Genomic DNA, 21,922 nt, shown 5'->3' with positions numbered 1-21,922 from the left:
AGGGGGTTGGGGGAGCCAAGGAGCATGACTCTGTGTATGTGAGTTGGCATGGGCCGAAATGTTCTTCTTGTGATGGCTTAGGTGTAGGGGTTGGTAATAATTTATACACTGGTGTAAATTATTAAATATCAATTGACGGAAAGGGGTCCTATCTAGTCCTTTTTAGATGGAGGATACATGTTTCTAAGGAGTGATACAATTACTAAGGGTGGAACTAGAGATTTATGTAAATGGTTTAAAAAAGTGGGCGGGACCACCTGGCTACGCATATAAAACCCAGTCTCTGCGCAGAGTGACTTGTCTCCCAGACAGTGGCTCAGCCTTCAGGACTCTCTTCCAGCATGGCCGAAGACACCTATTCACACAGTAAGTTCCCTTGTGCTTGACTGAGCTTTTGTTGGTTTGGGGAAAAAGTAGGGCTAAAAACCCAGTGGTCTTGTCAGAAGTTGTGAGAGTTCCATTTTTAAACTTTAACTGTATCTGGATAGGGGAAAACCGGTTTCTCTGATGTGATATTATGAAAATAGGCTGTTTTCAGTGCATTTGAGCATTGGGAATTTCAGAAAGGTACAGATATTCAAGAACTAAATAAGACATATTTGAGCTTCAGGAAGGAAGAGAGGAGGAAGGAGTGGAAAAGAAAAAAAGGAGAGGGAGACAGATGCTAAAACAGAGCAACTATGGGACACATCACAAAGTTCAGAGCTCAAAATATCCTTGGAATCAAGGATTCCAGATCTGGAAAGCACTTTCCTGATTTCTCTCTACAGAATGTTTGAACTTTTCTCCTGAACTTTGGACTTCATCTAATTGCCTGCTTGTCTCTAACAGGCATCTCAGACTCAATGTGTTCCAAAAACTGAATTCCCTATGTTCATATCTAAACTATTCCTCGCACTGTTTTCTCCAGCTCAGGAGGTGCCAGGTCATGCCTCATATCTAGAAAACACCCCTGACTCCATTTTTTCCCCCATAACACAGTCAGGCTGGACATTCTGATGGCTTTAACATTCAAATATTTAAGGAATCTGACCATTTCTTGGTCCATCTCATTAGATTATTGGCCCATTGCATGAGATTATTGCAGTCTTCTCCTAACTGATCTCCCTGCTTCCACCAACCTATTCTCAACGCTGTACCTCATGTGATGTTGTTAAACTGTTAATTAAATTATGGCGGCCGGGCGCCGTGGCTCACGCCTGTAATCCCAGCACTTTGGGAGGCCGCGGTGGGCAGATCACGAGGTCAGGAGTTCAAGACCAGCCTGGCTAACATGGTGAAACCCTGTCTCTACTAAAAATACAAAAATTAACCAGGCGTGGTGGTGGGCGCCTGTAGTCCCAGCTACTCGGGAGGCTGAGGCAGGAGAATTGCTTGAACCCAAGAGGTGAATGTTGCAGTGAGCCGTGATCATGCCATGTACCTCAGCCTGGGCCAGAGAGCGAGACTCCATCTCAAAAATACATACATACATACATACATAAATTAAATTATGTCACTTATCTGCTCAAAACCTTCAACAAAAAGGCACTTGGCCCTATCGTGCCCTAGATAACGTGGCGCTTGGTATGGTCTGTGACCTCGTCTGCTTCCCTTTTATTCTTTTTTTTCAGATGTTCTGGCCTCCTTGCCTTATGTCAAATAGGACAGGCAGCGTCCCAGCCCAGGGCCTCTCCCCACCTCCTGCAATGTCTCTCAAACGTCAGCATTACTCACTCTCTAATGTGCCTCAAGCCTTTGTTCATGTTATACTTTCTCAGTGAGCCCATCCCTAACTATTGCACTTAGAACTGTGACCTCACCCCTGCACTCTCTACTCTTGCCACTTGAGTCTTCTTTGCCGTGGAAATACTCATCATCTGATACACTACATCTTTTGCTTGTTTGCTTGATATCTTTCAGCTCCTTAAAGATCAAGGATATCTTAACTGTTTTGTTTATGGTGCCTAGAATAGGGTCTGGCTTTTTTTTTTTTTTTTTTGAGAGGAGTCTCACTCTCTCGCCCAGGCTGGAGTGCAGTGGCGCGATCTCGGCTCACTGCAAGCTCTGCCTCCCGGGTTCATGCCATTCTCCTGCCTCAGCCTCCCGAGTAGCTGGGACTACAGACGCCCGCCACCACGCCTGGCTAATTTTTTGCATTTTTAGTAGAGACGGGGTTTCACTGTGTTAGCCAGGATGGTCTCGATCTCCTGACATCGTGATCTGCCCGCCTCGGCCTCCCAAAGTGCTGGGATTACAGGCGTGAGCCACCGTGCCCGGCCAGGGTCTGGCTTTTAATAGGCGTTAATAATTTTTTAACACTTGAAAAATTAGATGAAAATATTCTGGTTAATTCTACTAGGACTTACCTAGCCATTTCTGGAAGTGAATGTTTGTTGTGTGGAGAAGGTAAAGTGTTAGAAATTAGAATTCAGTCAAAAGAATGAATATATATATATACATATATATATATATATATATTTTTTTTTTTTTTTTCCTACTCCAGAAATGTAGAAGTTGAGGAAAAGCAAAATGGATTTAGGAGTGGCTTTCTGAGGTTAATTACAAAAGCAGAGAGGATCAATTTCTCAAGGTATCAGGGCAGGTCTATGTAAATCTTATGAAGTGGTCTTTTGAAAGGGGTGGTGTTACTTACAAATATACGGAAGAATAGAAGATTTATTTTAGGGCACTTGTTTTCAAAGTATGGCCTGTGGAGCTCCAGAGCCCTTTCCAGGAACTGTAAGGTTGACACAATTTTCCTAATTATACTAAGACATTTTTCTTTTGCACTGATGATACAAAAACAATGATGGGTAAATCTGCTGGTACCTCAGAGGACATCAAACCAGTATAACCAAATTGTACTGGTAGTTACTGTGGTTACCCTCATACTTTCAGTGCAAGAACAAAAAGTGGTTTCACTTAGGAATGTCCTTAAGCAGTAACAATTATTGATTTTATTAAACTTTAACCCTTGATTACACCTTTTTAATATCCTGTGTAACACAAAGGGACATATGCATCAAACCCTGTGCTTCATACTGGAATAGGATGCTTGTCTGGAAAAGAAGGATGTATGTAATTATTTGAATTGCTAGCATAAAACTAGCCTTTCACATTTTTATTATTTTGAAATATTTTTTATCTTAAAAAAAATTTTTGTTTCCACCAAAATCCTACAGTCATCTAGCCTTTTTTAAAAAAATTATTTTTAATTTTATTTTTTTGAGACGGAGTTTCACTCCTGTTGCCCAGGCTGGAGTGCAATGGTGCAATCTCGGCTCACTGCAACCTCTGCCTCCCGGGTTCAAGCGATTCTCTCGCCTCAGCCTCCCAAGTTGCTGGGATTACAGGTATGCACCACCATGCCTGGCTAATTTTGTATTTTTAGTAGAGACGGGGTTTCTCCAAGTTGGTCAGGCTGGTCTCGAACTCCTGACCTCAGGTGATCTGCCTGCTTCGGCCTCCCAAAGTGCTGGGATTATAGGCGTGAGCCACTGTGCCCGGCCAATGATTTTGAATTTTTGTGGGTGCATAGTAAGTGTATATATGTATGGGGTACAGAGGCATCCTTGCATCCGTGGGATAAATCCCATGTGGTCATGAGGAATTATCTTTTTACTGTTGAATTCAGTTTGCTAGTATTTTGTTGAGGATTTTTGCATCAGTGTTCATTAGGGATATTGTCCTTTTTCGATGTGTCTATTTGCCTGCTTTTGAGTATCAGAGTAATACTGGCCTTGTAGAATGAGTTAGATGGTGTCTCACTATGTTGCCCAGGATAGTCTTGAACTCCTGGACTCAAGGAACCCACCTGTCCTGGCCTCTCAAGGTGATGGGATTATAGGTGTGAGCCACCTACGCCCAGTCTAAACTGTTATTTTAAATGATCAATGCAAGAGGCTACAAAATCATCGATAGGTAAAAGAGCCATTCAAAATGTAAGATAATGGGTTGGAAACTTGAAAAAAATGTAAGACAAAAATGTATTTTAATATAACGCAGTAAGAAAAGTTCATTGATATGTTTTCAGACTCCATGTGACAACTACCCTTTAAACAAGTTTAAGAAATTGGCCAGGCATGGTGGCTCACACCTGTAATCCCAGCACTTTGGGAGGCTGAGGTGGGTGGATCATCCAGACCAGCCTGGCCTACGTGGCAAAACCACGTCTCCACTAAAAATACAAAAATTAGCCAGGCATGGTGGCAGGTGCCTGTAATCCCAGCTACTCAGGAGTCTGAGGCAGGGGAATCACTTGAACCCAGGAGACTGAGGCTGCAGTGAGCCGATATTGTGCCACTGAACTCTAGCCTGGGGAACAGAGTGAGACTCTGTCTCAAAGAAAAAAAAAAGAGAGAGGATGTGACTCTTTCCTGTAATTCCAGCACTTTGGGTGGCTGAGGTGGGAGGATTGTATGGGGAGGCCAGGAGTCTCATACAGCCTGGGCAACCTAGGGAAAGGCCATCTCTACAAAACATCAAAAACTTAGCTAAGCATGGTGGTAAAGTGAGAGGTCATAGCATGGGGTGTGGACTGCCTTAGACCGGAGGGTCAGGGAGGGACTCTGAGAAGATGGTGTGCAAGCTGAGACCTGAGCAAGGTGATCTCATCCATCATCGTGTGAAGAGCCTTGTGGGTAGACGGAGGAGCAAGTGAAAACTCTGGAGAAGGAAGAAGTTGGCCGGGTTGGGGGTCAGATGGAAGTTAGATATCATGGCAGGAGTACACATTGCAACATATAAAGCCAAGTGGAATGTCGCGTATGATGAGGTCAAGGAGATGAGGTCAAGGTATGGAATGTCGCGTATGATGAGGTCAAGGTTCAAGAGGAATGATGGGTAATGTCAAAGGTGGATTGTATGAGCCAATTCATTGAGCTTGTAAAAGTTGAAACTTCCCCCTTCAGTGAAATACAGTGGACCAGGGGCCAGGTGCAGTGGCTCACACCCGTAATCCCAGCAATGTGGTAGGCCAAGGTGGGTGGATCAGGAGGTCAGGAGTTCGAGACCAGTCTGGCCAACGTGGTGAAACCCTGTCTCTACTAAAAATACAAAAAATTAGCCAGGCGTGGCGGCACGTGCCTGTAACCCCAGCTACTTTGGAGGCTGAGGCAGGAGAATCACTTGAATCTGGGAGGTGGAGGTTGCAGTGAGCCGAGACTGCACCATTGCACTCCAGCCTGGGCAACAAGAGTGAAACTCCATCTCAAAAAACAAAAAACAAAAAACAAAACAATGGACCAGGTGTGTGAAACTGAAGACAAGGGCAAGCATTCAAAGATCAAACAAAAAAGCTGTTGGTCTTTTAACTGAACTTCTAGCATCTCTAGTAAATTTTCTTCTTATCTCAATTCACTAAGTCTAATTCTGTTACGAAATGGTATCTTCCAAAATGCTTTCCAGATTTGGTTATTTCAAGGAGATGTCCTATCCAGCAAATTATGTGATGTGGTATTTTTTTTCCTATTGGAAAATTCCACTGAAAGTATGAAATTCTTTTTCCAGCTAATTTTGTCCTCCCTGTGGTGTTTTTAAAAATACCTTGGAAACTGTTACTGTTTGCCTGTTATTGCTATTGAGCAATGGAGGTCAAAGTAAAAAAAATATGCTCCGGCCAGGGGTGGTGGCTCATATCTGTAATCTCAGCACTTTGGGAGGCCAAGGCTGGGGAATCGCTTTTGAGCCCAGGAGTTTGAGACCAGCCTGGACAACGTGGCGAAACTCTATCAAAAAGTAGAAAAATTAGCTGGGTGTGGGGGTGTGCACCTGTAGTCCCAGCTACTCAGGAGGCTGAGGTAGGAGGATCACCTGAGCCTGTGGAGGTGAAAGCTGCAGTGTGCCATGATTGCGCCACTGCACTCCATCCTGGGCAACAGAGTGAGATCCTGCCTGAAAAAATAAAAATAATAAAAATAAAATATATGCCAATAAAAATAAAATACCAAGGAATTTTGACCTGAAAAACTGAAAGGGGTTGAAATGGTCCTTGTATCACAAACTCTTCGTTTCTATGGTTTCATCACTACAATGACATATTGCATGCATTCTTGACTTAGATTGTTTCTAATCCATATGAACAGAACACATTGTTTTTTAAAAAAAATTATTGGCATTTTCATGACATACATATTCTTATTTTTATTTATTTTTTATTTTACTTCATTTTGTTTTTTTTTTGAGACGGAGTCTCGCTCTGTCACCCAGGCTGGAGTGCAGTGGCGCAATCTCGGCTCACTGCAAGCTCCGCCTCCCGGGTTCACGCCATTCTCCTGCCTCAGCCTCCGGAGTAGCTGGGACTACAGGTGCCCGCCACTGCGCCCGGCTAATTTTTTGTATTTTTAGTAGAGACGGGGTTTCATCATGTTAGCCAGGATGGTCTCGATCTCCTGACCTTGTGATCCGCCCGCCTCGGCCTCCCAAAGTGCTGGGATTACAGGTGTGAGCCACCGCGCCCAGTTTTTTTTTTTTTTTTTTTGAGATAGAGTCTCACTCTGTTACCCAGGCTGGAGTGCAATGGCACGATCTCGGCTCACTGCAACCTCCGCCTCCCAGGTTCAAGCGATTTTGCTGCCTCCACCTCCTGAGTAGCTGGGATTACAGGCACACGCCACCACGACTGGCTAATTTTTTGTATTTTTAGTACAGATGGAGTTTCATCATGTTGGCCAGGCTGGTCTCGAACTCCTGACCTCATGATCTGACCACCTTGACCTCCTAAAGTGCTGGGATTACAGGCGTCAACCACCATGCCCGGCTCACAATGGTTTTTAATGGTTTTTCAAAACAGAGGATCCCTGACTTCTTAGTATGGCATTCAGATGAGCTAAAGAAGTTGAAAAATCGCCATTGTGTGTTCAAGAGCTCCATACTTGTATGAGGGTAGTTCTCCTGGAGTGGATTCCAGTGGATTTGGGAAGAGGAAGTGAGAGACTAGCTTGAACCTGAAGTTTGAGTATATAAATTAACCTATTACATGCTTCTTCTTTTGTAATCTTCCTACAGAGATGGTAAAAACAAATCATAGGCGCTGTCGCACAAAATTCACAGAAGAACAGTTGAAAATCCTCATCAATACCTTCAATCAAAAGCCTTACCCAGGTTATGCTACCAAACAAAAACTTGCTTTAGAAATCAATACAGAAGAGTCCAGAATCCAGGTAAGTTAAAGTTCAATATCTCCAGGACTGGAAGTAAAAAGGCAGGAGAGAGAACCATTAACGGAGCCCATACTATGTACCCATGTGCTGAGGGCTTGGTAGGGAGTATCTCAACTGACCCTCAATAAACCCACGAAGGTGTTGGTCTTAGCCTCACTTCACAGATGTGGATACTGAGGATGAGCGAGCTCACAGGAGGTGAGAGAACACGTGTAGGCGTACCTTCAGAGAAGGAGATACTTGAGCTGGCTTTTAAACATGTAATAATTGTAGCAGCTATTTACCAATTAAATATTAATAATTAGAGCAAATCATGTTGGCAGCAGATTGTGAAGATGCTGAATGCCCAATCTTTTATTTTTATTTTTGTTTTCATCTTTTTGAGTCAGGGTCTCACTGTCTCACCCAGGCTGGAGTGCAGGGGCACAATCAAGGCTCACCGAAGCCTTGAAATCCCGGTCTCAAGCAACCCTCCCTCAGCTTCCCAGATAGCTGGGACTATAGGCATGTGCCACCACAGCTAATTTTTTTTAATTTTGAGACAGAGTCTCGCTGTGTCGTCCAAGCTGGAGTGCAGTGGTGTGATCTTGGCTTGCTGAAACCCCCGCCTCCCAAGTTCAAGTGATTCTTCTGCCTCAGCCTCCCAAGTAGCTGGGACTACAGGCGCCTGCCGCCATGATCAGCTAATTTTGTTTTGTATTTTTAGTAAAGACTGAGGTTCACTATGTTGGCCAGGCTGGTCTTGAACTCCTGACCTCGTGATCTGCCTGCTTCGGCTTCCCAAAGTGCTGGGATTACAGGCATGAGCCACTGCACCTGGCCGGCTAATTTTTTTTTTTTTTAACTTTTTTGTTTTTAGTAGAGATTATGGTGTCACACAATGTTGCCCTGGGTGTGAATGCCAAGTCTTGACCAAAGAGTTGGTAGATGGGCTGGGCGTGGTAGGTCATGCTTATAATCCCAGCACTTTGGGAAGCCGAGGTGGGTGGATCACCTGAGGTCAGGAGTTCTAGACCAGCCTGACCAACATGGAGAAACCCCATCTCTACTGAAAATACAAAAATTAGCCAGGCATGATGGCACACACCTATAATCCCAGCTCCTTGGGAGTCTGAGCCAGGAGAATACTTGAACTCAGGAGGTGGAGGTTGCAGTGAGCCGAGATCACGCCACTGCACTCCAGCCTGGGCCACAAAGTGAGACTCTATCTCAAAAAAGAAAAAAAAGGACTTGGTAGAATGTGACAGAAGTAAGTAATAATCCTGGGCCTAGGCCCAATAAGAATTGCTCACTTTGGGAACAGGCAGTGATGTAGCTTAAATGACATTAACACGTAATTCTCTCCTTTTCTTTTCCTCACTTAGATTTGGTTTCAGAATCGAAGAGCTAGGCACGGATTCCAGAAAAGACCAGAAGCTGAGACTTTAGAATCAAGCCAGAGCCAGGGGCAAGATCAACCTGGTGTGGAGTTTCAAAGTAAATAACCCTCTTAGTTCTGTTCCCCAGCAGAGCTTCTCTACGGCGGAGCCAACTGCGACTTTGAAAAAAGAATGTCTCCTCCCTGATGACCTCCTGTTCAGGGTCTTATGGTGGCAAAGGGTTCATCGTACCCTAGAAGTTCTCCCCTGCCCTCTTCCCAGGCTTTCTTATTTATTTATTGAGATGGAGTCTCACTCTGTCACCCAGGCTGGAGTGCAGTGGCTTGATCTTGGCTCACTACAACCTCTGCCTCCCAGGTTCAAGCAATTCTTCCGCCTCAGCCTCCCAAGTAGCTGGGATTTACAGGTGCGCGCCACTATGCCCAGCTAATTTTTGTACTTTTAGTAGAGACGAGGTTTCGCCATATTGGTCAGGCTGGTCTTGAACTCCTGACCTTGTGATCTGCCCCCTCTCAGTCTCTTAAAGTGCCGGCATTACAGGCGTGAGCCACCGCGCCCGGCCTCTTGCCTACTTTCTTTCTACTGGAGTCCAGAAGCCCAGACATATCATCCTGGGTCTCCTCTAGAACCTTCCACCTGGAAGGAACCTGGGACAAGATCCTCTCAGGAGGAGTCAGTGGGATCGAAATTGGAGGGAGAGTGACAAGTTTGGGTTCTGTGTTTGAATATGTGAATGGACCCTTGCAATATTCCTTGACCGCCCCCCTCCATCTTTCCATGCCTTCCCTAGGTAGAGAAGCCAGACGGTGTCGTACCACCTACAGCGCCTCTCAGTTACACACTCTCATCAAGGCATTTATGAAAAACCCATATCCTGGGATTGATTCCAGAGAAGAACTTGCTAAAGAAATCGGTGTTCCAGAGTCAAGAGTCCAAGTGAGTGATAAGAAGGTGGTTGTCCCATCTCCTAGGGATCTAGGTATACAGGAAGGGAAGCCACATGGGCCTCAGGCAGTTCCTCATCATGCTGGGCACATTTCAGGGTCTTTCACAGCTGTTCCCTGTCTGCTGGCTTCTACCCCCAGGTGCCCACAGGACTCAATCTCACATCCCCTTCTGGTATTTTCTGTCTGTCTTGAGCAATGTTGTATTCCTTGGGCCCTGAACAGTGCGTGGCACGTGACACCCAATGAGAAGTTGTTGAGTGAGTGAATATTAGTTAACATTGCATATAAGCCAGGCATTTGGCTAAAGCCTTTTTTTTTTTTCTGAGATGGGGTCTCACTCTATTACCCAGGCTGGAGTGCAGCGGCGAAATCTTGCCTCACTGCCACCTCGACCTCCTAGGTTCAAGCGGTTTTTGTGCTTCAGCTGCCTGAGTAGCTAGGATTACAGGTGTGTGCCACCACGCCTGGCTAATATTTTTTGTATTTTTAGTAGAGACAGGGTTTCGCCATGTTGCCCAGTCTGATCTTGAACTCCTGGCCTCAGGTGATCCACCCTCCTTGGCTTCCCAAAGTGCTGGGATTACAGGGCTGAGCCACCGTGCCCGGCCTATTTGACTGAAGTCTTTATGTCTACTGTATCCTTCAGATCTTCTAATTATGCCCTGAGGTTAGAGTTATGAGGTCCAGGCTGGGTGCGGTGGCTCACGTCTGTAATGCCAGCACTTTGGGAGGCTGAGGTGGGCAGATCACCTGAGGTCAGGAGTTGAAGACCAGCCCGGCCAACATGGTGAAACCCCATCTCTACAAAAATACAAAAATTAACCGGGCACGGTGGCTCATGCCTGTTGTCCCAGCTACTTGGCAGGCTGAGGGAGGAGAATCACTTGAATCTGGGAGGTGGAGGTTGCAGTGAGTAGAGATTGCACCACTGCACTCCAGCCTGGGTGACAGAGCAAGACTCCGTCTTGAAAAAAAAAATTATGAGGTCCACTTTAGACATTTAACATTTAGCTCAGAGAAATGTACCAGTCTGTCCGAGGATTCATTCCTGACACATCTTGAAATGGAATAAAATTGTCAGACTGCTGTGTAGGGTGTGTGTGCGTTTAAACCAGTGCTCCCTCCTGTAAGCAGGACATGAATGCACATTAGTAGTTCTGATGGTTCTTTCGTTTTACTTTCCTCGTCTCGTGTTCATTTTTCATTCTGTCCTTCTTTCATTTTGCATTATTCGGAGCATCTACTATGTGCTAGGTACTGTACTAGGTAGTGATTGCTATGGTTTGAATGTTTGTCTCCTCCAAAACCAATGTTGAAACTTAACTGCCATTTTCACACTATTAAGAGTTGTGGCTGGGCACAGTGGCTCACACCTGTAATCTCAGCACTTTGGGAGGCCAAGGCGGGTGGATCACCTGAGGTCGGGAGTTCGAGACCAGCCTGACCAACATGGAGAAACCCCGTCTCTACTAAAAATACAAAAATTTAGCTGGGCATGGTGGTGCATGCTTATAATCCCAGCTACTCCGGAGGCTGAGGCAGGAGAATTGCTTGAACCCGGGAGGCGGAGGTTGCGGTGAGCCGAGATCACGCCACTGCAATTCAGCCTGGGCAACAAGGGCGAAACTCTGTCTCAAAATAAAAAGAGTTGTGGCCAGTTACGGCGGCTCATGTCTGGAATCCCAGCAGTTTTAGAGGCTGAGGCAGGAGGAACAGGGAGACCACAACTCTATGAAAAAAATTAAAAGTTAGCTGGGTGTGCTGGCACATGGCTGTGGTCCCAGTTACGCGAGAGGCTGAGGCAGGAGCATCACTTGAGCCCAGGAGGTTGAGGCTGCAGTGAACTGTGATCGCACCACTGCCCTCTAGCCTGGGCGATAGAGTGAGATTTTGTCTCAAAAATATAGTAGCTGCTGGAAGGTGAGGGATTTTTGTGAGTGTGTGCGTACAAGTATATATGAACTGCTATTTCAAATTATGTGAGTATATATGCATAAGTTTTACATGCCTATGTGTATAATCTATGGGCACAAAGAAGGAACAGAAATTAAGTTTGTCTTGTGGGATGAAGAATGTTTTCCTAGACATTCTCTATTCTGGGAATTGGAAGTAAAATGGGCATTTCTGAGGGGAAGAAAAAGAGATAGAAAAAAAAATTTCAGGCAGAAGGAAGAGCTGCAATGTAGCATGTCACTTTAGAGAAACACCGGTATTGTAATGAGGTGGACCTGTGAACTTTCAGGATCTAAAACCTATCACAAAGGGACTGGGTGTGAGTTTCAGAATTTTGGGTGTTCTCTTTAGGCCTTATAGACTCTCACAAATGTCATAAAATGTTAATAATGTTGGGCCGGGCACGGTGGCTCACGCCTGTAATGCCAGCACTTTGGGAGGCTGAGGTGGGTGGATCACCTGAGGTCGGGAGTTCAAGACCAGCCTGGCCAATATGGTGAAATTCCATCTCTACTAAAAATACAAAAATTAGCCGGGTATGGTGGTTGGCGCCTATAATCCCAGCTGCTTGGGAGGCTGAGGCAGGAGAATTGCTTGAACCTGGGAGGTGGAGGTTGCAGTGAGCCAAGATTGTGCCACTGCACTCCAGCCTGGGTGACCGAGTGAGACTCCGTATTAAAAAAAAAAGTATCTATCTATCTATCTATCTATCTATCTTGGGTTGGGCACAGTCAAGTGTGCCTCTAGTCCCAGCTACTTGGGAGGATTGGTTGTGCTCAGAAGTTCAAGATCAGCCTGGGCCACGTGGTGAAACCTCGTCTCTACAAAAAGTTTAAAAGTTAGCCTAAGGTGATGATGCACAGCTGTGGCACTAGCTACTCTGAGAGAGACCGCTGTCTCAAAAAACAGAAAAGAAAAAAGAGAAGAAAGCAATCATGAGTTTTACACAACATTCTTTGTTTAAATTAAGTTTCTTTGTCTTACCACTTAGATTTGGTTCCAAAATCGAAGATCTAGATTACTTCTCCAGAGAAAAAGGGAACCTGTGGCGTCCTTAGAACAAGAAGAGCAGGGCAAGATTCCTGAGGGACTGCAAGGTAACTAGCCTGTTGTTTCCAATGTGGTTCACAAGCGGAGCCCTTGGATGTCCAGTGCTTCGTCATGGTGGAGCCGACAGCTCCTCCTGGGAGGTGGAGGATATCCCCACTCAAGTGCTCCACGGTACCATGGGGTTGCTCACAGTCCCCAAAGACTCTTCCCAGGCCTATGAACCTTCTGAAGAATCCACTGCCCACTTTCCAACTGGATTCCAGCAACCCCATGGATACAAATTCACTGTTGTATCCCCAGTGCCTGGTACAAAGGAAACGCTCAATACACTTCTGTTGAAGGTGTGATTGAGTGAGAGGAGGAATGAATCCTCAGGTGTGGTCTGCCAGGGGCAGCGGGGGCATGGCTTTCCCAGGAGGTAGTAGGTTCCATATTGGATTGAAAAGGTGGGGGCTGGGCATGGAGGCTCACGCCTGTAATCCCAGCACTTTGGGAGGCCGAGGTGGGCGGATCACGAGGTCAGGAGATCGAGACCATCCTGGCTAACACGGTGAAACCCCGTCTCTACTAAAAATACAAACAATTAGCCGAGCGTGGTGGCGGGCGCCTGTAGTCCCAGCTACTCGGGAGGCTGAGGCAGGAGCATGGCGTGAACCCGGGAGGCGGAGCTTGCAGTGAGCCGAGATCGCGCCACCGCACTCCAGCCTGGGCGACAAAGTGAGACTCCGTCTAAAAAAAAAAAAAAAGAAAAGGTGGGAAAAGGCTGACGTCCATGTTTGTGAATATAAGCTGATCTCTTACATTCTTTCCTCTATCTTTTTTCCTCCTTAGGTGCAGAAGATACACAAAATGGCACCAACTTCACTAGTGACTCTCATTTCTCTGGAGCCAGAACGTGGTGAACACAGTCAAATTCAGTGTACTTGATAATATCAACTGGACCCCAAATCTGTCTCACGGTCTTCCTGGGAGTCTATCCTTCTGCTGAAACTGCAAGCTAAGCCTTCTGAAGATGGTAAAGGACTTGGCCAGATGTGGTGGGTCACACTTGTAATCCCACTACTTTGGGAGGCCAAGGCAGGAAGATTGCTTGAGCTCAGGAGTTTGAAACCAGCCTGGACAACATATAGCAAGACTCTGCCTCTATTATAAAAAAACAAAATAAATGAAAAGGACTGTAGGAGGCAGAGACGGGTACAGGGGGTACCACACTACCCTGTTGACACAGCCTAGATCCAGAGTTCAGAAGACCTTGAGACAATGAAAATAAACTTGGTAATAATCTTTTTTCAATCATCACAGTAATTATTGATTTGTACAAAAATCACTTGACGTCATAACCTTAAAGTGACACTGCTCTGCCTATGGAGTAGCCGTTCTTTTATTCCTTTACTTTCTTAACAAATTTGCTTTCACTTAAAAAAAAACCTTTAAGTTCAAGGAAGAACAAGATATATACTTCATCTCAAAAGAATCTACTCACACACACTTATTAATTACAAAAGGAAAATCAGTAATTTTGCAGCAGAGAAATATGGCCAACTCCACCTTAACCAAGTGGCTGAAAGTCACTGCACCAGTAATGGCACAAACCAATGTGAGATGCTTCCTGATATGATACAGTAAGAAGGCCACAGTCTCTTCTGCGTGTTAGTGACAAAAAGTGGGTAAGCTGAAACTAATAATTAGGCAATGTCAAGTGAACACAAATTCAGGATGACAGACTGCAAAGTAACATCCATGTATTCTTCAACAATGGATTGATCAGGGCTACTCAGAAGGCTGAGGCGGAAGGATTGCTTGAGGCCAGGAGTTCCAGATCAACCTGGGCAACATGATGAGACCCCATCTCTACAAACAATTTTTTAAAAATGAGCCAGGTGTGGTAGTGTGCATCTGTAGTCTCAGCAACTTAGGAGCCTGAGGCAGGAGAATGGTTTGAACACAGGGATGGTGAGGCTGCAGTGAGCTATGATCGTGCTACTGCACTCCAGCCTGGGCGACACAGCAAGTTCTTGTTTCCAAACAACAACAAAACAAAACAAAAAAAAAACCGGATAGAATAATGACCAAAAAATGGAGAAAAAGTAGGCTGACTCAGGAAACACTTAGAAAGTACAGCCATACCTCAAAGATATTGTGGATTGGGTTGCAGCCCACCACAATAAAGCAAATATTGCTATAAAGTGAGTCACAAAAATGGTTTTGTTTCCTTGTGAATATAAAGTTACATTGGCTGGGTGTGGTGGCTCATGCCTATAATCCCAGTACTTTAGGACATGGAAGGGGGAGGATCACTTGAGACCAGGAGTTGTGAGGTCAACCTGGGCAATATAGGGAGATCCTGTCTCTATTTAAAAAAAGAAGTTATGGCCGGGCGCGGTGGCTCATGCCTGTAATACCAGCACTTTGGGAGGCGGAGGCGGGCAGATCGCGAGGTCAGGAGATCGAGACCATCCTGGCTAACGTGGAGAAACCCCGTCTCTACTAAAAAAAAAAATTACAAAAAATTAGCCGGGCATGGTAGCAGGTGCCTGTAGTCCCAGCTACTCGGGAGGCTGAGGCAGGAGAATGGCGTGAACCTGGGAGGCGGAGCTTGCAGTGAGCCAAGATCGCGCCACTGCACTCCAGCCTGGGTGGCCGAGCGAGACTCCCTCTCAAAAAAAAAAGTTACATTTACACTACACTACACTGTAGTCTAATAAAGTGTAAAATGGTGTTATGTCTAGGAAACAAGGCACATACTTTAATTTTAAAACACTTGATGCTGGCTGGGTGGGGTGACTCACGCCTGTAATCCCAGCACTTTGGGAGGCCGAGGCAGGTGGATTGCTTGAGCTCAGCCTGGACAACATGGCAAAACCCCATCTATTAAAAGAAAAAATACCTGATGCCCTTATTTGAAGCTCCATTATTTTTTAAAAAGAAATTATATAAAAATACTTTATTGCTAAAAATACTAATAATGATCTTAGCCTTCAGGGAGTCGTAATCTTTTTTGCTGGTGAGGAGTCTTGCCTCAATGTCATTGGCTGCTGGCTGATAAGGGTGGTGGTTGCTAAATATTGAAGTGGTTGTAACAATTTGTTAAAACAACAATGAAATTTACCACATTAACTGACGCTTCCTTCCACGAAAGATTTCTCTGGAACATGAGATGTTGTTTGATAGCATTTTACCCATAATAGAACTTCTTTCAAAATTGGAGCCAATCCTCTCAAACCCTGCCACTGCTTTCTTAACTACGTGCGTCAATATTGTAAATCCTCTGTTGTAGTTTAAACAGCGTTCACAGCATCTTCACCAGGAGTAAATTCCACCTCATGAAACCACTTTCGAGGCTCCTTCTGGACTGTGGCGTTCTTTCCAGGCTACCTTGTGGCAATTTGAGAGTCTGGCATCGTTTTCCGCCAGGACCCAAAGATCCAGGAGGCACTTGTGACTAGCCTGCCAATGGACCCATGACAAAAGTTTAACCTAACCTTCATCCGAGTCTTCGCAAATGCTCACTGAAGAAAATTCCTAAGACAATTCAGGGGCCTCTCATACCCTCTACTGTGAGATGTTACTAAAGAACCTTAGTAACTTGACTCTCAACTCCACTACCAACCCTTCCCCTCTAGCAGAAGGTTCACCCGAGCAACAGGATAGAAAAGAAACAATCTTCCAGGACATCAGAGGTGGCTAGACTTACAGGAGGAAATTAGTAAAAACATTGCTCTCTGTGGGTTTTTCTCACTGACTTCAGGCTTCTAAAACACATGAGAATATTTAGGACCTATTGGTGCTTTAGGGATTAAATCAAAGAGTAGCACTAAGGTATATTGAAATTATTCAAATACATTCAAACTACACAGATTCCTTATAAGTTACCAGTGTCATTGTAGGAAGGAAAATGTATGAGAAAAAGATATCACAGAAAAAGATATCAAAAATATTGCGATAGTCTATCCTAGCATAGAGTAGCTTTCTTAACCCACTATATAAAAAATTACCAGCAAGAAGGCTGGGCGTGGTGGCTCACACCTGTAATCCCGGCACTTTGGGAGGCCGAGGCGGGTGGATCACTGGAAGTCAGGAGTTCAAGACCAGCTTGGCCAATATGGTGAAACCACATCTCTACTCAAAATATAAAAATTAGCTGGGCGTAGTGGTGGGCGCCTCTAATCCCAGGTACTTGGGAGGCTGAGGCAGAACTGCCTGAACCCAGGAGCCGGAAGCTACAGTGAGCCAAGATCATGCCGCTGCACTCCAGCCTGGGCAACAGAGTGAGACTCCATCTCAAAAGAATAGGAAAAAATTACCAGCAAGAAAGAAAAAGTACAAAAATAATGTTTATGGCTGAATAGGCTCTGTGTCATAATTCCCTTTTCTAGCATTCTCAGAAGGATCCCATCTGTGATACACACAAAAACTGCAGCCACATTTGAATGGTTCACTTCTTGATTCATTCTGCGCTCCCTTAAGCCTAGTGTCAGTTCTCTTTCAAGCTGAGAAAATCTATTAATAGGTATCTCGATTTTTACCATCCTTTCTTTCCCCACAGAGAGCAATGTTCTTACTAATTTCCTCCTGTAAGGCAAGCCATCTCTGATGTCCTGGAAGATTGTTTCTCTTCTATCCTGTTGTTGGGGTGAAACTTCTGCTAGAGGGGAAGGGTTGGTAGTAGAGTTGAGAGTCAAGTTACTAAGGTTCTTTATTAACGTCTCTCAGTAAGGTTATGAGAGGTCCCTGAATTGTCTTAGGAATTTTCTTTGCTGAGCATTTGTGAAGACACTGGGATGAAGGTTGGTTTAAATTTTTGAACTTGAAGTAGGCCAGGCATGGTGGCTATTGCATGTAATCCCAGCGTTTTGGGAGGCTGTGGCAGGAGTATTGCTTGAGGCTAAGAGTTCAAGACCAGCCTGGGCAACATGGCGAGACTCCATCTCTACAAAAAAATTTTTCAAAAAAATTTGCCAGGTGAAGTGGCACATGCCTGTGGTCCCAGCTACTTGGGAAGCTGAGGTGGGAGGATGCATTGCAATAAGAAGCCATGATGTACTGCTTTTGCAATTTTCAGTAGCAAATAAATGTGCACATAGAGAAACAATAAAATTGACATATTTGAGTACCTTTAAAAAAACACTTTAAGGCTGGGCACGGTGGCTCACGCCTGTAATCCCAGCACTTTGGGAGGCCGAGGTGGGCGGATCACCTGAGGTCAGGAGTTCGAGACCAGCCTCAACCTGGAGAAACCCCATCTCTACTAAAAATACAAAAAAAAATTAGCCGGGCGTGGTGGTGCATGCCTGTAATCCCAGCTACTTGGGAGGCTGAGGCAGGAGAATTGCTTGAACCTGGGAGGCAGAGGTTGTGGTAAGCTGAGATCGCGCCATTGCACTCCAGCCTGGGCAACAAGAGCAAAACTCAGTCTCAAAAAACAAACAAACAAACAAAAAAACAATTTATTTGCTTATCCATAAGAAGCAATTCCTCATCAGGTCAAGTTTTTTTTTTTTGAGACGGAGTCTAGCACTGTCGCCCAAGCTGGAGTGCAGTGGCGTGATCTCTGCTCACTGCAAGCTCCGTCTCCTGGGTTCACGCCATTCCCCTGCCTCAGCCTCCCTAATAGCTGGGACTACAGGCGCCCACCACCATGCCCGGCCAATTTTTTATATTTTTAGTAGAGACGGGGTTTCCCCGTGTTAGCCAGGATGGTCTTGATCTCCTGACCTCGTGATCTGCCCGCTTCATGAGGTCTTTCTTTTTTTTATGGAAACATGAATTGTAATTTTATTATTTTTTCTTTTTTTTCTATTTTTTTTTTATTATACTTTAAGTTTTAGGGTACATGTGCACATTGTGCAGGTTAGTTACATATGTATACATGTGCCATGCTGGTGTGCTGCACCCACTAACTCGTCATCTAGCATTAGGTATATCTCCCAATGCTATCCCTCCCCCCTCCCCCCACCCCACCACAGTCCCCAGAGTGTGATATTCCCCTTCCTGTGTCCATGTGATCTCATTGTTCAATTCCCACCTATGAGTGAGAATATGCGGTGTTTGGTTTTTTGTTCTTGCGATAGTTTACTGAGAATGATGATTTCCAATTTCATCCATGTCCCTACAAAGGACACGAACTCATCATTTTTTATGGCTGCACAGTACTCCATGGTGTATATGTGCCACATTTTCTTAATCCAGTCTATCATTGTTGGACGTTTGAGTTGGTTCCAAGTCTTTGCTATTGTGAATAATGCCGCAATAAACATATGTGTGCATGTGTCTTTATAGCAGCATGATTTATAGTCATTTGGGTATATACCCACTAATGGGATGGCTGGGTCAAATGGTATTTCTAGTTCTAGATCTCTGAGGAATCGCCACACTGACTTCCACAATGGTTGAACTAGTTTACAGTCCCACCAACAGTGTAAAAGTGTTCCTATTTCTCCACATCCTCTCCAGCACCTGTTGTTTCCTGACTTTTTAATGATTGCCATTCTAACTGGTGTGAGATGGTATCTCATTGTGGTTTTGATTTGCATTTCTCTGATGGCCAGTGATGATGAGCATTTTTTCATGTGTTTTTTGGCTGCATAAATGTCTTCTCAATGGAACAGAACAGAGCCCTCAGAAATAACGCCGCATATCTACAACTATCTGGTCTTTGATAAACCTGAGAAAAACAAGCAATGGGGAAAGGATTCCCTATTTAATAAATGGTGCTGGGAAAACTGGCTAGCCATATGTAGAAAGCTGAAACTGGATCCCTTCCTTACACCTTATACAAAAATCAATTCAAGATGGATTAAAGATTTAAACGTTAGACCTAAAACCATAAAAACCCTAGAAGAAAACCTAGGCATTACCATTCAGGACATAGGCATGGGCAAGGACTTCATGTCCAAAACACCAAAAGCAATGGCAACAAAAGACAAAATTGACAAATGGGATCTAATTAAACTAAAGAGCTTCTGCACAGCAAAAGAAACTACCATCAGAGTGAACAGGCAACCTACAAAATGGGAGAAAATTTTCGCAACCTACTCATCTGACAAAGGGCTAATATCCAGAATCTACAATGAACTCAAACAAATTTACAAGAAAAAAACAAACAACCCCATCAAAAAGTGGGTGAAGGACATGAACAGACACTTCTCAAAGGGTCTTTCATTTAAAACATTTTTTTAATTAAAAAAAAATTTCATCTGTTCAAGTTTTACCAGCAGGTTGCAAAAATTCAGTCACATCTTCAGGCTCCACTTCCAATTCTAGTTGTCTTGCTATTTCTGCTACATCTGCAGTCACTACTTCCATTGAATTATTAATATATATTTTAAAAATAAAGATGGGAGTCTCGCTATGTTGCCAGGCTGGTCTCAAACTCCTGGCCTCAAGTGATCGTCCCACTTTAGGTCCTAAAATGCTGTGATTATAGGCATAAGTCATGTGCCTGGTCTCCACTGAATTTTTGAACCCCTCAAAGTCATCCATGAGGGTTGGAATCCACTTCTTCCAAATCCTGTTCATGCTGATATTTTGACCTCTTTCCATGAATCACAAATGTTCTTAATGGCATTTAGAATGATGAACTGTTTCATGGAGGTTTTCAATGGACTTTGCCCCGATCCATCAGAGGATTCACTATCTATGGGAGAAATGGCTTTATGAAATGTGTTTCTTAGATAACACGACTTGAAAGTCAAAATTACTTCTTGACCCACGGTCTGCAGAATGGATGTTGTGTTAGCAGGCATGCAAACAACATTCATCTCCTTGTACATCTCCATCAGAGTTTTTTTCTTCAACTGAAATTAAGATTCATCCATCAGCTCTTGAGTGACCCGATACATTTTCAATGAGCAGTGATATTTTGTTTTTGTGTGGTCTTTTGCTTTTTTATTATTTTTCTATTTTTGTGTTTAGGTTTGATGAGCAGTTATTTATTTATTTACTTATTTATTTATTTATTTATTGTGTTTACTGGCTTAACACCTGGGATCTGAAGAGCAGTAATGCTTTGAAGGGAATCTTTTTCTTTTTGTCTGAGAAATAGTTCTCAACAGTGGGCTTAAAATAATCAAAACCATACTGTAGACAAATGTGCTATCACCCAGGCTTTGTTGTTTCATTTATAGAGCACAGATAGAGTAGATTTAACATAATTCTTTTCTTTGTTTGTTTTTTGAGACACAGTCTCACTCTGTCACCCAGGCTGGAGTGCAGTGGTGTGATCTCGGCTCACTGCAGCCTCCGCCTCCGAGGTTCAAGTGATTGTCTTGCCTCAGCCTCCTGAGTATCTGGGACTACAGGCACGGGCCACCATGCCTGGCTAATTTTTTTGTATTTTTAGTAGAGATGGGGTTTCACCATGTTGGCCAGGCTGGCTTGGAACTCCTGACCTCAAGTGATCTGCCCGCCTTGGCTTCCCAAATTGCTGGGATTAGAGGCATGAGCCACCGCATTTGGCCAGCATAATTCTTAGAGGCTTTAAAATTTTTTAAATGGTAAGTGAGCATTAGATTAAATTCAGTCACCAGCTGCATTAGTTTCATGTAAGAGAATCATCCTGTCCTTGGAAGTTTTGAGGCCAGGCATTGACTTCTCTCTAGCTATAAAAATCCTAGATGGAATCTCCTTCCAATAGATGGCTTTTTCATCTACATTGAAAATCTGCTGTTGAGCCAACTGCAGTGGCTCACATCTGTAATACCAGTACTTTGGGAGGCTGGGATGGGAGGATCACTTGGGGCCAGGAGTTTGAGACCAGCCTGTCTCTAAAAAAAAATAAAAAAGGCCAGGCACAGCGGCTCAGACAAAAAAAAAAAAAAAATATATATATATATATATATATATACATATATATATATATATATATATAAAATCACTCCACCCCTTTCCGTTCACCTGCAGGCTTGCTCTGTCTCTCAGGCTGGAATGCAGTGGCAAGATCCTTGCTCACTGCAGCCTTGACCTCTTGGGCTCAATTGATCCTCCCACCTCAGCCTTCCAAGTATCTGGGACTATAGTAGTCCGACACGGCGGCTGGGATTCAGGCTGGCTGGGTCATTTTGCTTTTTTTTTCTTTTTTTTTTTTTTGAGATGGAGTCTCCCTCTGTCGCCCAGGCTGGAGTGCAGTGGCATGATCTCAGCTCACAGCAACCTCTGTGTTTTGGGTTCAAGCAATTCTGCCTCAGCCTCTTGAGTAGCTGAGTAGCTGGGACTACAGGTGTGTACCACCATGCCCAGCTAATTTTTGTATTTTTAGTAGAGACAGGATTTCACCATGTTGACCAGGCTGGTCTTGAACTCCTGACCTCAGGTGATCTGTCTGCCTCAGTCTCCCAAAGTGTTGGGATTACAGGCTTGAGCCACCGCACACCGCCAAGGGTCATTTGCTAATACGATCTTTGGATACCTCTTCTCCTGGGAGGAGGTCTAGTCTGGTGCATCCTGTCCCATG

General features: G+C 44.4%; 1 protein-coding gene and 1 pseudogene across 1 annotated transcript; one reads left to right on the top strand and one right to left on the bottom strand.

Moving 5' to 3' along the window:
• Nucleotides 1-299: 299 nt before the first annotated feature.
• On the top strand, nt 300-13,764 carry DUXA (double homeobox A). Its single transcript, NM_001012729.2, has 6 exons — nt 300-366; nt 6,988-7,142; nt 8,507-8,618; nt 9,312-9,457; nt 12,413-12,518; nt 13,303-13,764. The coding sequence occupies exons 1-6, from the start codon at nt 342-344 to the stop codon at nt 13,371-13,373; spliced, it is 615 nt and encodes a 204-aa protein (NP_001012747.1). The 5' UTR covers nt 300-341; the 3' UTR covers nt 13,374-13,764.
• On the bottom strand, nt 16,807-17,272 carry DPPA3P8 (DPPA3 pseudogene 8; annotated as a pseudogene).

The sequence above is a fragment of the Homo sapiens genome, chromosome 19 (genome assembly GCF_000001405.40).
Source record: "Homo sapiens chromosome 19, GRCh38.p14 Primary Assembly".
Classification (NCBI taxonomy): Eukaryota; Metazoa; Chordata; class Mammalia; order Primates; family Hominidae; genus Homo; species Homo sapiens.
This window is presented reverse-complemented; position numbering and strand designations above follow the sequence as displayed.

Bases quoted from the DNA above. Each gene is read 5' to 3' on its own strand.
- DUXA (NM_001012729.2), top strand. From the start codon at position 342: ATGGCCGAAGACACCTATTCACACA. The intron at 8,619-9,311 runs GTAAATAACCCT...TGCCTTCCCTAG, and splicing joins ACCTGGTGTGGAGTTTCAAA to GTAGAGAAGCCAGACGGTGT. The intron at 12,519-13,302 runs GTAACTAGCCTG...TTTCCTCCTTAG, and splicing joins GATTCCTGAGGGACTGCAAG to GTGCAGAAGATACACAAAAT.